General features: G+C 39.9%; 1 protein-coding gene across 10 annotated transcripts in view, besides 1 other annotated feature; it reads left to right on the top strand.

The window, feature by feature from the left end:
• GAB1 (GRB2 associated binding protein 1) overlaps positions 1-14,227 on the top strand; it is a 137,690-nt gene that overhangs the window by 29,962 nt on the left and 93,501 nt on the right. For 5 of the 10 annotated variants that reach the window (XM_017007966.2, XM_006714168.5, XM_047449973.1 and 2 more), the window contains exon 1: positions 906-13,902. The exons of the other annotated variants lie outside the window; for them this stretch is intronic. The gene's annotated coding sequence lies outside the window, so the exon portion shown is untranslated. Of the gene's footprint in view, positions 1-905; positions 13,903-14,227 lie in introns of those variants that run through there. 10 annotated transcript variants of the gene reach the window in all.
• Positions 5,823-6,012: an enhancer, noted in NCBI's record as "active region_21942". NCBI's record gives its function as "activates an Ori minimal core promoter by ATAC-STARR-seq in GM12878 lymphoblastoid cells {active_cell/tissue: GM12878}" and the evidence as "EXISTENCE:reporter gene assay evidence [ECO:0000049][PMID:35858748]".

A 14,227-nucleotide genomic window follows, 5' to 3' on the forward strand; every position in this document is an offset into this window, starting at 1 on the left:
AATCACATGGTCCTCAAGACCCTCCATAATTTCCCAGGCTCATTTCTCTTACCTGTCTCTGTCCACGTCTCATGTCTTTCGTGGTTGGGTGCCATTCCTTCTTTAAGGACTATCTCAAATGGTACTTTTTTCCCAAATTTTTTCCCCTTGATTGAATAACAGTGTTTACTGTATTCTCACTGTATTTTGTCCAGGCCACAGTTTTAGCTTGTGCTTTTTGTTACTTGTATAATTGTCTCTCATTTCAGATTCTAACCATGAGACAGGGACATTTCTGTTGGTATCAGAAATAGCCTTGCAAAGGCTGGAATGTAGGGTAAATTGGTAGTTATTATTTCTAATTGGGAAGCTACAAAACTTTGTCTCAGGAATTAAGGAGGATAACTACATTTTGGGAGAAAACCTATCTTCCCATCCTTGATACAGTGATCTAATGTTGTGCATGTAGTTGGAACTCAATAAATGCTTGTTGAAATGGACCCAATATCTGGTAGTGGGACTGGTGGCATTTTCAATGTCCCTGGAAAGGAAATTCGATATTTATTTATACAATATACTTAGAAGTCCTAAGTTTAAAAGGGAGAGAGTGAGAACATATGTTGGTGAAACGAAGAAAATGTATATAAAGTACCTCTTTGCAGGAAAGCCCCAGAGCCATTGCTTTTCACTTTTATATTGGACATGCCATATTTGGATATGGTCAGTAAATGTTTGCTTTTTTTTTTTTTTTCTTTACAGAGGTATAAGTTCCAATACCTTAATGAAACAATCTGTAATAAATTCTCCTGTAAGTGCAAAGGCTGAGGGTATGTCTTCCATGTTTTTTGATGCCCTATTTGGATCAACCTTAAGTCAGAGATAGAAGTGCAAATCAGATGAGGGTTTTTTTTTTTTTTTTTTTTTTGGAGACAGAGTCTTGCTGTGTTGCCCCAGCTGAAGTGCAGTGGCACAGTCTTGGCTCACTGTAACCTCTGCCTCCCGGGTTCAAATAATTCTCATGCCTCAGCCCCCCAAGTAGCTGGGACTACAGGTGCCCACCACCATGCCTGGCTAATTTTTTGTATTTTAGTAGAGATGGAGTTTCACCGTGTTGCCCAGGCTGGTCTCAAACTCCTGACCTCAGTCAGTCCATCCGCCTCAGCCTCCCAAAGTGCTAGGATTCCAGGCGTGAGCCACTGCTGCTCGGCCAGGGTCCTTAAGTTCAAATCATGGAGCAGTCCACAGAGCACTCTTCTCAGGTGCAGAGTGGAAAGGACTTTGATCGTGGACTAGTATTTTTAGTCACATCCACAGGCCTTTGAAAGGGAAAAAATATATTATTGATAGGTCCTGTTTTTTGAGGAAAAAAAAAAAACAAGCATTCCTAACTACCTGGCAAATAATTTCTTCTATTCTAATGATAATTAATTTATGTGGTCAAAGATCAGAGAAAGGGAGCCATAGGCAGGACAGCAGCCCAGTATTGGTACCACACTCTTAGGGATCTCTTAATTTTTGTTTTCTTCATAACAATTGTCAGTTTTCTTACACTGTGCTGTATTTGGAGTGGATGATGCTGGTGGTGATTGTCTAAAACTTAGATATTTAAACAGTTTGAAAACTTGTTGGAGTAGGAATTATAAAAGCTTTATAGTTTTCATTATCTTCTCCATTCCCACTCTTCCAAGTTACTACAAATATGCCTAATTTTTATAAATATATGCAATTTAAAATGTTTTAATTGTAATATACAAGTAGTTCTTGGCAGTAGATTCCTTCGGAGATTTTTCTTCATATTTTATAGAGTTCTTCAGATTTTTTCCTCTTTGCTTATAATACTTATAAAGTTATATTTATTTTCTTTTGTCTAAACTCATTCAATGTGCATTTTTCTCACCTGCTCTTTTGTTTGCTTGCTGCGATACAAGGCTGTATAAAGAAATACTTGGTGCTTTCTGTGACAGCAGGCCATATAAAGAAATACGAACTCTTTTTTTTCTTTTTGAGATAGAGGCTGGAGCACTATGGCGCCATCTTGACTTACTGCAACCTCTGTCTCCCAGGTTCAAGCGATTCTCCTGCCTTAGCCTCCCGAGTAGCTGAGATTACAGGTGCCCATCACCACACCCGGCCAATTTTTTGAGATGGAGTCTTGCTCTGTTGCCCAGGCTGGAGTGCAGTGGCATGATCTCAGCTCATTGCAACCTCTACCTTCTGGGTTCAAGCAATTCTCCAGCCTCAGCCCCCCGAGTAGCTAGGATTACAGGTGTGCACCACCACGCTCAGGTAATTGTTTTATTTTTTAGTAGAGACGGGGTTTTGCCGTGTTGGCCAGGCTGGTCTCAAACTCCTGGCCTCAGGTGATCCACCCACCTTGGCCTCCCGGAGTGCTGGGATTACAGTTATGAGCCACCGCACCCGGCCATTTTTTTGTATTTTTAGTAGAGATGAGGTTTCACCATGTTGGCCAGGTTGGTCTCAAACTCCTGACCTCAAGTGATCTGCCTGCCTCAGCCTCCCAAAGTGCTGGGATTACAGGTGTGAACAACCGCAGCTGGCCAAGAAATACCAGCTCTTACCAAGCACTTTAATTCATTTAGTTTTTCACTCTGGCTACAGTGAGAAAAGACAATGTTTTTACACTTGATATACTTTTTATAAGAAAAAATCAATGCAGGATGAAAATATCCTGTTGCTCTAGTAATTCCCACAGAAGGTCAGCCTCAATAATAGAAGATGAAAAAAGTTTTGTGGTGTTTGCTGTTTTATAAACTCATATTTGGAGAAGGAACACAATATATATATGATTTCCTCATAACTGCTGTTGGTGCCCCAGATTTGATATTGTTGCATGATAACCTGACATTGCTTCCTGCTTCTGAAGGAATGATTGGATTTGAAGCCAACATGCTTGCTAAACCGGGAAGCTGCTATTACAGAAGGCACAGGAAGTCAAGCTGCCTATGCAGTTGTGCTGAGACATGAGACTCATACGTTGTGACCCGTGCCTATTGTATGTCTCCCCATCTTTATAACTGCTTTTGAAAACTGGCTTCAAATAAGCAAAAGGCCTAGTGTTATTTCCATAGCAGCACTAAAATTAATGAATAAGAGTTACAGAGTTGGCTGAATATAAAGGAGATATGTCTAACAATTACAGTTCTCCAAAACCTAGTGTGCTCCCTCTTTGTCCTTGTAAGTGGTCAAACAAAAATGGCATAAGCACTCACTTAGGTGTTGCATTGGTCAGGGACCTGGTGGGAGGCGGATGGCACACACAAGTTGGATAATTTGGGGAACATTTCATAAAAAGACAGTAAAAATGTAGGGTATAGTAAGAATATACAAGGGCAAGTAAAAGGGTATGGGGCAAGGGCTAATATCTGTACGTGAGGAAGAAAGAGGAGGAAATGTTATCAAACCACTGGCTGTGTACAAATGGCTGCCTTATAGGAGCTGAGGTCTGCAGTCAAGGGAGACTGTCCACTGAGAACATACAGGGACACAGCCAGCAGTTCTGTTCCCTGACCCTGGGCTCTTCTGTCTCCAGCCATTGTCCCTTTTGACTAAACACAACCAGTGTAGAACAAGGATTGTTGCAGTCCTTGACAGATCAGACTCTTCAGGCTCAAAGAGTACAAATAGGTGGGGAGTAGATTGGAGTTAAGTGGAAACAGTCCTGTGCAGATGTTATAGTGAGTGGGATATCCCTGCTGTCCTCATTGATAGTACAGAACTCTTTTTTTTTTAAATTAAAGTTCTAGGGTACATGTGCACAACGTGCAAGTTTGTTACATATGTATACGTGTGCCATGTTGGTGTGCTGCACCCATTAACTCGTCATTTACATTAGGTATATCTCCTAATGCTATCTCTCCCCGCTCCCCTGACCCCACAACAGGCCCCGGGGTGTGATGTTCCCTGCCCTGTGTCCACATGTTCTCATTGTTCAGTTCCCACCTATGAGTGAGAACATGCAGTGTTTGGTTTTCTGTCCTTGCGATAGTTTGCTCAGAATGATGGTTTCCAGCTTCATCCATGTCACTACAAAGGACATGAACTCATCCTTTTTTATGGCTGCATAGTATTCCATGGTGTATATGTGCCACATTTTCTTAATCTAGTCTATCATTGATGGACATTTGGGTTGGTTCCAAGTCTTTACTATTGTGAATAGTGACGCAATAAACATATGTCCGCATGTGTCTTTATAGCAGCATGATTTATATTCCTTTGGGTATATACCCAGTAATGGGATGGCTGGGTCAAATGGTATTTCTAGTTCTAGATCCCTGAGGAATCGCCACACTGACTTCCACAATGGTTGAACTAGTTTACAGTCCCACCAACAGTGGAAAAGTGTTCCTATTTCTCCACATCCTCTCCAGCACCTGTTGTTTCCTGACTTTTTAATGATCGCCATTCTAACTGGTGTGAGATGGTATCTCATTGTGGTTTTGATTTGCATTTCTCTGATGGCCAGTGATGATGAGCATTTTTTCATGTGTCTGTTGGCTGCATAAATGTCTCCTTTTGAGAAGTGTCTGTTCATATCCTTCACCCACTTTTTGATGGGGTTGTTTGATTTTTTCTTGTAAATTTGTTTAAGTTCTTTGTAGATTCTGGATATTTGCCCTTTGTCCGATGGGTAGATTGTAAAAATTTTCTCCCATTCTGTAGGTTGCCTGTTCACTCTGATGGTAGTTTCTTTTGCTGTGCAGAAGCTCTTTAGTTTAATTAGATCCCATTTGTCAATTTTGGCTTTTGTTGCCATTGCTTTTGGTGTTTTAGTCTTGAAGTCCTTGCCCATGCCTATGTTCTGAATGGTATTGCGTAGGTTTTCTTCTAGGGTTTTTATGGTTTTAGGTCTAACATTTAAGTCTTTAATCCATCTTGAATTAATTTTTGTATAAGGTGTGAGGAAGGGATCCAGTTTCAGCTTTCTACATGTGGCTAGCCAGTTTTCCTAACACCATTTATTAAATAGGGTATCCTTTCCCGATTTCTTGTTTTTGTCAGGTTTGTCAAAGATCACATGGTTGTAGATTTGTGGTATTATTTCTGAGGGCTCTGTACAGAACTCGTTTTTATGAAGAATCATTGACTTTCAAAAATACTTGAGGTTACCCAGTTCAAGCATCCAAAAATACAGACTTCCTGTTCATTCAGCATCTAGTTTAATGTATTCAATTATGGAGAGCAAAATTTTACATTATGAAACATCTTGGCTGGGCACGGTGGCTAGTGCCTGTAATCCTGGCACTTTTGGAGCCCCAGGTGGGTGGATCACTTGAGGTCAGGAGTTCAAGACCAGCCTGGCCAACATGGTGAAACCCCATCTCAGTTTAAAAAAAAAAGATGTATCTTGTTCCATTGTTGAACAACTGTAGAAGGTTATTCTTGCATTGAAATGTTCCTTCCTGTACCTTCTGTTGCTTGCTAGTTCTTCCGTTTGCTATTCTCTTGCCTTCTGTCTTTTGGTCCCTTTATGACATTTTTGGTGTTTGTTTAACAGGCATTCACTTATTCAACATCTATTTATTGAATGCTTGCTGTAGGCCAGGACTTGTTCTTGGTGCTGGGTATTCAGCTGTGAACAAGACAAAGCTTCTGCCTTACATGAAACTTACATTGTAGTAGGTAGAGACAGACATTAAGCAAATACATAATATGGTCTCTGTAGGTGATAACTACTGAGATTAACAGCAGTTAACCATGGTCACAAGAGAAAACTGTGGCTTAAATTGGGTCTGAAGTCATTCTGAGTCAACTGTGTAATGCAGTGGCCAAAAAGCCTAAATTCATCTTAGACTATTTGAATCAAATGGCCATGTTAGAGAGGTCATGTTTGCTTTCTTATTGTCAAGCTGAGCCTGGTGTATAGCATTTACTTTTTGAAGAGATATTGGCAAGTGGAAACTTGTTCAGGGGTATCCCCATGATAGCCTTGTAAACAGCTGAAGAAAGCCATCATATTTGCATGGAGTGTTCCCTAGGCCAAACCTTTCTGGTTTTGCCAACAGTTTCTCAAATGGTATGATGTCTATACTCTTTAACTGTCCTGGTCTTCCTCCAGATAATTAATTTCCTCTTAAAATGATGCTCCCAGAATTCAACTCATCTTTCCAGATGTGGTTTCAACTTAGGTAATGCTTATTAGACTATTTCTTCCCTTGATCTGGTTATTTAATTTTAGTAACGCATCTGAGGATTGAATTTCCTTTAAAAACACACACACACACACACACACACACACACACACATCTGTGTTACTTGACTCTCAGTGTTGAGCTAGGCTGTAAAGCCAGGTCTCCAGCACTTCTGTTCGTACAATTTATGTACATAAATATGTTACCCAGCATCTCTATTAAAATGTCATCTCATCGCTGTCTGTGCAGTATTCTACATTAAGATCCTTTGGAATATTGTCTTTCATCTAACTTGGTGTTGTCTACATAATTAACAAGCATATTCTCAAACTTCATCTAGGTGTTTAATATAATTGTTTAATTAAAAAAGAATAATAGCACCAGACCTTTCCTTCAGATTATAGCAGCTCAATAATTAATCCTGTTTTAGTATGACATTTCAAATAACTGTGAACAGCCTTAATATGTCATCCATTTTACATTTCTGCATTTTATCCAAACATTTTGAAAAATGAAGATACAGTCTTCATTTCATGATGGCATTTCTATCTGGTACTAGGCTTAACAAAAAACATACTAGAAGCCAGGCTTGGTGGCTCACGCCTATAACCCTAGCACTTTGGGAGGCCAAGGTAGGCAGATCACTTGAGCTCAGGAGTTTGAGACCAGCCTGGGCAACATGGCAAAAATGCAAATCCACAAAAAATCCAAAAATTAGCCGGCCATGGTGGCATGCGCCTGTAGTCCCAGCTGCTTGGGAGACTGAGGCACAAGAATTGCTTGTGCCAGGAAGGCAGAGGTTGCAGTGAGCCGAGATTGCACCATTGCACTCCAGCCTGGGTGATGGGAGTGAAACCCTCTCTCTCTCTCTCTCTCTCTCTCTCTCTCTCTGTAAATAAATAAATATATATATATATATATTTTTACCTTTCTAACATTGCAGGGAGTGACCTTTCTTTTTCATTCAGTCTCAGTTATGTGTCCAAAGCATTGGTATATGTTTTGGTTTAGTTTTTAATTTGCAAGCTCCATGTAAGACTACAGTGGGTTTTTTGTCAGATGCCTCCTTATTTATGAGTTGGAGTGAAGACAGGGAGAGTATTGACCTCATTCTTCCTGGAGATCTTTTTTGTTTTCCAAGGAGTTTGGTGTCGTATTTTATAGGATTTTCTAGATTATATGTATAACATCTTGACTCCACTCAAATGCCCAAGAACCCATACATTTTGGTGGCAGCATGACTTTCAAGAGGAGTTGCTTCTCTTGCTTAGTACAAAGTGTCCATGGATCAGAATGTGATTAAACAAGTCAAGTCAGGTGACTTGTCACTGAGGGTTTGTATTGGTTGCAAGTACCAGAAATGTGCCTGTGCCGATTGGGGAATCAGGATATTAGTCAAAGGAAAGGAAAACCTGTTCAACAATTTTTCTTGCTTTTCATGTGCTGCAGAGAAAAGGCTAAATCCCATCTGGTGCACACTATTGTGGGAATCTTATACTTTAGATTCATAAACACAGTATGTTCAGATTTTCTAGATTTGACATTTGCTTGAATGTGTTCGGTGTGTATTTTATACTGAGTGTCAAATTTCTTGCCTTTTGACGATAGCTGACTTTTAGTTGACTAAAAAAGTAGTAGTCATAGTTAGGTTTACTATCTGTGGCTATCACAGGGTTCACATGGGCATCATTGTCCAACCAAAGTTGCTTCTGAAGTGCTGCCATACAGTCTTGGCTCTCATGAACACTTGTCCTAGTTTTTACCGTTGTCCTGGAAGAATTACTTTCACGAGTGTCTGGGTTTGGAGGAAAAATTGTATGGCTCCTATGGATACGTCTCAAAGTATTCTAGGAAGCAAGTTGTTCCCATTGTGCAGTTATTGCTTTGACATCTGGCCTTCCTTACTTACCTCTGCTACAGAAAGAATCCAGAATGACTTGTAAGGCTGGTAAACCCAGTGATTCTTGGAATACTTTTTCAAGAATGCTCCTCCAGGAATGCTCTTGGAGTCTCACTCTGTAGCCCAAGCTTGAGTGCAGTCGTGTGATCCTGGCTCACTGCAACCTCCGCCCCCTGGGCTCAAGGGATTCTCATGCTTCAGCCTCCTGAATAGCTGGAATTATAGGTGCCCGCCACAACGCCTGGCTAAGTTTTTGTATTTTACTAGAGACGGGGTTTCACCATGTTGCCCAAGGTGGTCTTGAACTCCTGAGCTCAGGCGATGTGCCCGCCTTGGCCTCCCAAAGTGCTGGGATTACAGGCATCAGCCACTGCACCCGGCCTGAAAACACATTTTCTTAATGGGACTAAACTTTTCTAGCTGAATTGATCTATTTTAAAACTTGCCAATGAAAGCTCCTTAGTAGTATCTGCTAATTAAATGCAGTTTTTATACCTAACGGACCTTTTAAAGAATGTGTGCACTTTGCAAACCCCATTGCTTCTTGCCGTATCTGAGCACTTGCCACCTGGTGGTAAGGAGACCATTCCATCTCCTTCACTAGATGGTAGCACCTGGAAGTCAGGGATCATTGCTGACTTATCTTGCCTCCCAACATTGATCATGCAGTAGGTGTGGATGAGAAAGAGGGAGATAAGGGAAGAAAGGGGGCTGTGAATAAACGCTGTTGCTTTCTGCTTCCTTTTTAGGAGTTAAAAGTCTCTTCAGCTACCTGTTTAGGAGTATGAAAGCAAATCTAGGAAATGGCCTCTGCAGTTTTCCGAATATGACAAATCATTTAGTTTCCTAAGCTTGTTACTCTACAGTGGGACTTCTCAACCTCTGCACTGTTGATATTGTGGCCTGGATGATTGTTTGTTGTGTGGCCTGCCCTGTGCATTATAGGGTGTTTAGTTAGCAGCAGCATCCTTGGTCTCTGCCCACTAGATGCCAGTAGTGCACCCCATCCCCAGCTGTGACAACAAAAATGTCTGCAGGCATTGCCAAGTGTGCCCTGGAGGCAAAATAGCCGCCCCCTAATTGAGATTGAGAACCGCTGCTGCATAGGAGCTCCTGTCTGGGACAAATGCCCACCAGAGAAACCAGCAAGTAATAGAAATGTGGCTTTGGAAGGGAACTTAGAAATCATCTGGAATGTTGTATCCTGGAGAACTCCTCGCCCCACACCAGCGCCAGCACCCCTCCCCAACCCCCTACACCACCTCCACCTTTATACTTATGCTTTATACCTGCAGAACTATAACCTAAGGGAAGGAATGAATATAAAAAAGAAAAAAATACAACTATATGAGGTAATACTGTTTAGGGCTTGTAGGGTTATTTGTTTTAAGTTTGCTTACAGATCATGAACATGTGTCTACTTTCAGGTTACTCAAAATAAGAAAGCATAAGCTTATAGAAATAGGTCAGGGAGAAAAACACAGAAAAACTAATGTGCAGCACTACTAAAAAAGAATTCAAGGTGTATGTTGAACATTTTTCAGATTAAAAAGAACTCACTGGAATGTGGCTGGATTGCTAGTATCGCCCTGTGGAGCTATCTGGGCTTCATATGAGGCTATTCTAAGTACATGCATCAAAAAAGAGATATAGAAGAGTATTTAAAGTAATGATAATTGGCCTTTTTCAAAAAATGACTTGCTTTCTAAACCTGAAAAATAGCCATCATGATACTAGAGAAATAGCTGAGATATTAATATTTCCTCTGTAGATTGTTTTGTTTTATAAGGGCATTTTGTGTCTTACTAAGAAATCTCACATAAAAGTAAGAACACCAAATTAAATATTAGCTCTTGTGGTTATTTTAAGACTCATCTCAATAACCAAGAGAATTTGGTTCTCACACTTTGTACCTTTTGATTGTAAACAGCTTTAAACAGGTTTATGTTGTACTTCATCAAAAATTATAGAGGATCTGCAGACTGAGACGCATTGGGACTGAAATTAGGCAATTCAGAGTTTCTCATGCATGTAAGCTGCTTTTATTTTGATCCCTATCATTCTTAGTCTGTCTTTTCAAATATTCTACTGGAAGGACTGTTGTGAGTTGAGGGCAAAGGAGAAAATGGCAGGGTCTCGAGCCACCAGGCCTCATAATACCTGCTCTTTGAGGTAGAGTAAAAGCTAACTGATGAATGTTTTCCAGAATAATATTTAGATTTAGTCTGGTGGTTTTTTTTTTTTTCTTGTTTTGTTTGCTTTGGTTTAAGCTCAATACAGTCACATCTGAATTTACACAACAAAAATGTTTCCGAAAAGTTGTGGATGAATCCATTTTTAATAAGCCAAGTACTATAAAAAGCATCAGAAGAACTTGTTAACTGAACTTATCCTAATGTTCTGATCACCTGTTTCTTTTAATAGACATAGTGGTTGCAACAATGCTTTGATTAGTTCCTTTTTGGAAGCTGGCTTTTGTTGGGGGGAGGGTTTTTGTTTCTTGTATCTTAAACTTGACACCTTGATTCTCATTGAAAAAACTTTCAACCATGTATGGTTGGTGATTTGTTGAAATTTATAACTGAAAATCTGCCACTCTGCTTTTAGTATTTGAAATGCCTTGGCAGGGAGACGTTTTTCTCAGAACAGATCTTTTGGAGGACCTCAGGAAGTTAATTATTCTGGCAAGAAGTTCTTTTTGAACTTTTTTGGATCATTATGATATTATGCTAATTTATCTAAAAAATGGATTCTAAGTTGAATAACTGTATAGTCCTGGCAGATAAGAGCATGTCAGATGTCTTGGCACAGTTTGGGGACAGAGGGGACTTTCCCACTTCTTTATGTAATCCACCATCATAATGTGGGAGTTTTATGAAATTTCTTCTGTTATACAGAAATACTTAGCTTTTTAGGCCGTATGTGCTGCTCAGTGAAAACAAGCTCTGTGTATGTCTGTATATGTTTAAATGAAATGAAAAAGAGAAGTGAAATCCAAGAAATTTCTGGTTTGCAGTGGTGATTATTTTTAGCCACGTTCATGTGTTTTAAACAATCCCTTTTAGGTCTGTTGAATGTAGCTTGGAACAGAACGTCCCATAGAAATGATAGTATAGTACACGTGGTGGCAAAGTTTCCATATTAGCCCTCAAAGATTATTTAACTCATCATATACTCACACGCTTTGCCGTACAAGGGGCAATGATGTATAGCGTATAAAAACACTGTTTAATAATACTCAACCTACAGCAACTTTCAATACTAAGAATGAAATAAAATTGAAAAATTGTAAAAATGCATAAGGATAAATTTTGTTTCTCTGAAAAGGTTGCTTTTGAGGAAAAGTAGTTTTAAAGAGACTTGGTGGTGTGGTAGAAGAACTCCCAGCAGACCTGAAGATGTAGCAGATGTATAGCAGTTTGGGCATCTTGGACAAGTAAATCATACTCGCAAGCCTCAGTTTCTTTTAATGTCATGGGGATAGTTGTGTGGATCAGAGCAGAATTTGTGTGAAGGTGATTTGCAAACTGTAAAGTCCTATGCAAATATACAATATATGTTCTGGTTCTTTTCTTAATTATGAAAATCTTGTATCCTGGCCTTTTTCTTGACACTCATATATTAGTAACAAAAATCTTTATGCTTAGCAACAATTAGTAAGGTCCTATTTCGCTCACAAATACAATAAATGCATGTTATTTTGACCTACATGGATGATAGAAACATTTGCTTTTTTGTGACAGCCTATTGGAACTTCCAAAGTGTCTCTCTCTCTCTCTCTCTCTCTCTCTCTCTCTCTCTCTCTCTCGTTTTTCTAGTCTCTAAACCTCTCTTGTTTTTTCTTTGTCTGAGTATCTTTCTGAACCACCGTCTCAAGTTTCAGGTTATACGACAGAGCTCATACTCCAAGCCCTGGCCTCTCTCTGACCTTGTGCCTCTGGCCTGGGACAAGCTTCACACTGCCAGACTCTGCAGCTGACCCTTTGTATCTCCCAGTAGTCTGAGCAGCATTCATTTGCTCAAGGTCTCACCAGAGACCAAACAGGGGCAGCCTCTCTGGAGAGACCATGGCCTCCCAACAGTATTTTTGATGTCAGTGGCCTAGCCTTAGGCCCCGAAGCCAGGAACTAGATGTGATAGGGGCCAAATCCCCCAAACCCGAGGAGCTTTTCTGGTAGAAAATGTGTTATGAAAAAAAGGGGGACTCAGTGGCCATTGCAGACCAAAGCCTCATTCATTGAGGTGGGGTAGGGGTTGCTGGGGACTACAATTCAGAGTTATATATGTAACAGAGTTATGCATATAATTCAGCAAACAAAGAGGCAAGTTGAAAAGGGTTTATTAAAGTATTAATGTTTGTGTCAAATGTATAAAATTCAGGAAACAGGCAGAGCAATAACATTTAATGTTGGAAGAGGACTTAGAGATACAAAAAATAGAGTTTATTCATTCTGGAGCAGAGAAATCTTAAGCCGGATAGGTTAACTGATTTGCAAGTGTCTCCTGCCTTCCAATCCTGCATCCTTAAGGATATCCTTAAGATGATACATCTGGGTTTTGCGATGCTCTGTTCTCCAGGTACGGTTAGCAGTGATTTTGCATAACTATGTGCTGAGACCCTAGGATCTAACAAACTATAAAGGTTAGAAATGAAATATGAGGTAGCCTACTATATCAGCCACCTCTGATTCCCTTCTCCCACCACAGGGAGAATTAGATTGACCGGCTGATCGATTGCTTGATTGAGACAGGATCTTGCTCTGTCACCCAAGCTAGCCTGCAGTGATCTCCACTCACTGCAGCCTCGACCTCCTGGGCTCAAGTGATCTTCCCACCTCAGTCTCCTGAGTAGCTGGCACTACATGTGCACACCACAGTGCCCGGCTAATTTTTTGTATGTTTTGTAGAGACAGGATTTTGCCATGTTGCCCAGGCTGGCCTTGAACTCCTGGGCTCAAGCTATCCTGCCTTGGCCTCTCAAAGTGCTGGGATGACAGATGTGAGCCACTGTGCCTGGCCAGTAATATGTATTAAGTAAGGTAATTTGTAGGAGCTTAGAGAGAACCAGCAATATGACACAGTTTCTGCTCTTTTGGGGCTTACAATACAGTATTATATCATCAGAGGGGGTCCATTCTGAACCATACCTTGAATTAGGCATTAGCATACTAGATTCTAATTTTGTTTCTTCCATTGAATTTCTAACGTGGACCCTGGTTAAGTCTAAGAGATCATTTAAATCGTGGGCCTCAGTTTTTTTATTCATAAAATGAGAATATTGACATGGGCCTCAGTTTTTTTATTCATAAAATGAGAATATTGAATCTTGAAACCCTGTTATTTTTACATTCTGTGTACAAAAGTCTCATGGTACTATCTTTAATTTTACTTATCAGATTTTGAATCTCTAGTGCTCTTTTTATTTCAAGATATTCTTAGCCAAGCTATAAAATCAAACTAATTTATATGCTGTTATGAGGCAACTTAGCAATTCATATAACCACAGGCTAGAGAAAGTTTGGACATATATAATGGTTCATTTCTTCAATTTTAAGGCAGAACTACATCCCAAGCTTATGTAAAATAATTTGAATTATTATATATTCCCATAGTTCTGCCTCAAATAAAATATAACTGTTTTTGAAAATTCAAAGACTTAGAAAGTAAATTAGAGGATTGTTTATTATAAAAGAACTTTGGACCCTACAAAGGAATTTAACCACAGTTTTCTTTTCTTTGTTAATAGAGTCTCACTGTGTTGCCCAGATTGGTCTTGAACTCCTGGCCTCAAGTGATCCTCTTTCCTTGCCCTCCCAAAGTGCTGGGATTACAGGCTTGAGCCACCACTCCCAGCCAACAGAATTCTTTTCAACAGTGAGTTCCTCTAGTGCACTGAAAATGTAATATGATTTGCAGATGTTTAGTTTATGTACACCAGAAAGAAATAGTTACGTATATTTACAGTTCATGGTTCTCTGCAGCAGCGCTGAGTGTATGCCAGATATGCTTTCCGTTAACTAATTGTAGGGATTTTCTGTGGGTTGAGAGTTTTTTTGCTGTTGTGTTGGAATTTTACTGACCTATCTTTCCTCCCTCTCCATGTTCTTCCCAGTAGTTCAAATAGCATTCATATGTAAAATGACTGGTTAAAATATGGGAGATCATCTCTGGCTGTTGGAGAAGTCACCCATTTAGGGGA

The sequence above is a fragment of the Homo sapiens genome, chromosome 4 (genome assembly GCF_000001405.40).
Source record: "Homo sapiens chromosome 4, GRCh38.p14 Primary Assembly".
NCBI classification, from domain to species: domain Eukaryota; kingdom Metazoa; phylum Chordata; class Mammalia; order Primates; family Hominidae; genus Homo; species Homo sapiens.